The 1544-nt window shown below is 43.2% G+C and overlaps 1 annotated feature.

Annotated features, from left to right (window-relative positions):
• Positions 1 to 1200: an enhancer, noted in NCBI's record as "P300/CBP strongly-dependent group 1 enhancer chr16:25453167-25454366 (GRCh37/hg19 assembly coordinates)". NCBI's record gives its function as "activates an origin of replication core promoter dependent on BRD2, BRD4, P300/CBP, MED14 and CDK7 cofactors, with strong dependence on P300/CBP, by STARR-seq in HCT116 cells {active_cell/tissue: HCT116}" and the evidence as "EXISTENCE:reporter gene assay evidence [ECO:0000049][PMID:35650434]".

A 1544-nucleotide genomic window follows, 5' to 3' on the forward strand; every position in this document is an offset into this window, starting at 1 on the left:
GGAGGCTGGGAAAGAGAAAAAAGGAAGGGACCGAGGGGAAGGAGTAGGGAGACAGGAAGAGAGAGAGGCATCCTGCAGGATTTCTGACCACTTTCCCACTCCTAGTTTCAGTCTCTTATTGGGAGGCGTGGCTGCACTCTCTCACCTTCAATTTCCAGCCTTTCCCCGGTAGCATTTTCATTTCTCTCTTTTGTTTTGAGACAACAAAAGAACCTTGATGGAGACATATTTGCTATTTAGCTCCTCTCCAATTGTGGAATGGCCAATACCCAGACATCAGTGAGCATGCCGGAGTCATTGTTGGATATGTGTGGATGGGGACTCCACACAGAAGCTTATATCAGAACTGCTGCAGTCAGTGTGTGACAACGTAGATCCCTTTGTAAAAGGGGTGTGTTGGGGAGTTTCTGATCCTCCGCAGACAGATGTGGTATCTATAGACACGTCAGCATTTCAGAGAGATGGCCCAGTTGGGGGTGGGGGTGGGACAGGCCCTAGATGTATCCACTTGGTGGGAGGGAGGGGGGTATCCGGAATGGGAAAATCTCAGTGTCAAGGAGGTTCAGTGATCTTGCAACACAATCGACAAAAATGAGGACTACAAAGGTCTGAGATAAAAGGGGACAGGATGTTCTAACAGGTGGGGCTGAAACGATGCTTAAAAGCCTACACATTAGTAAGCACAAAGACTCAACAGCACTGACCTGAATCATTGTTTCCAGAGGGGTGCATTATGACGTTTCATAGAAAGTATCTTATGTTGTCCAAAGGGAAGACCAATTTTTTAGCCCAGATCCTAAGTGAGAGGTTGCTTCTTTCTCCAAAGGGTGTTTTATCTGAACCCTGTCTACAGTAATGATCATGTAATATTGTTTATAGCAGAAAGAATTCATCTGGTAAAGCAATGAAGTTAAAAAGTTTTTATAACAGTTCCATGAGAACATTCAGTAGCACATAAATAATAAATTGTAGCTACTACTACTGTGATTTCTCTTTCTCCTCCTTCTCCTACCCCTTCTCCTTCTCCTTTCCCTTCTCCTTCTCTTTCTCCTTCTCTATCTCTTTCTCCATCTTCTTCTATTGCTAATGCTATTAAATATGGCGCCCAGAACACAGGAGATATTTGATGCCTATTATTTTTCTTAGACAACGACAAAAGGAAACCACTGACTTTTTCTTTTCGTATTCCCCTTGTTCCAATCATTTGCAACTGACCACACAGAGATGTTGCTTTTTGTTCCTTGACCACTAGAAATGGCATCTTTGTGGTATGCCCTGTAAAATGCCCCCTTTTGTGGTGTGTCTCCTAGCGGGATACCTGGAGAGAATCATTGTCATAGAATCATAGAATCTTAGTTGAAAGGGACTTTAGAGGTTAGTTCCTTTCTAAAAGCTAGCATCTCATCTAAGCCTCTTGGAGAGGTATTCTCGTTTATTACCAGTTACTCCAAAGAATAGAGAACTTCCTCCAGGGCTGACTATTTTATTGTTGAATGGCTTTGATTAGTTCCACTGACTTGAAACATGCTTCACTGGGAGCCTCT

The sequence above is a fragment of the Homo sapiens genome, chromosome 16 (assembly GCF_000001405.40).
Source record: "Homo sapiens chromosome 16, GRCh38.p14 Primary Assembly".
Classification (NCBI taxonomy): Eukaryota; Metazoa; Chordata; class Mammalia; order Primates; family Hominidae; genus Homo; species Homo sapiens.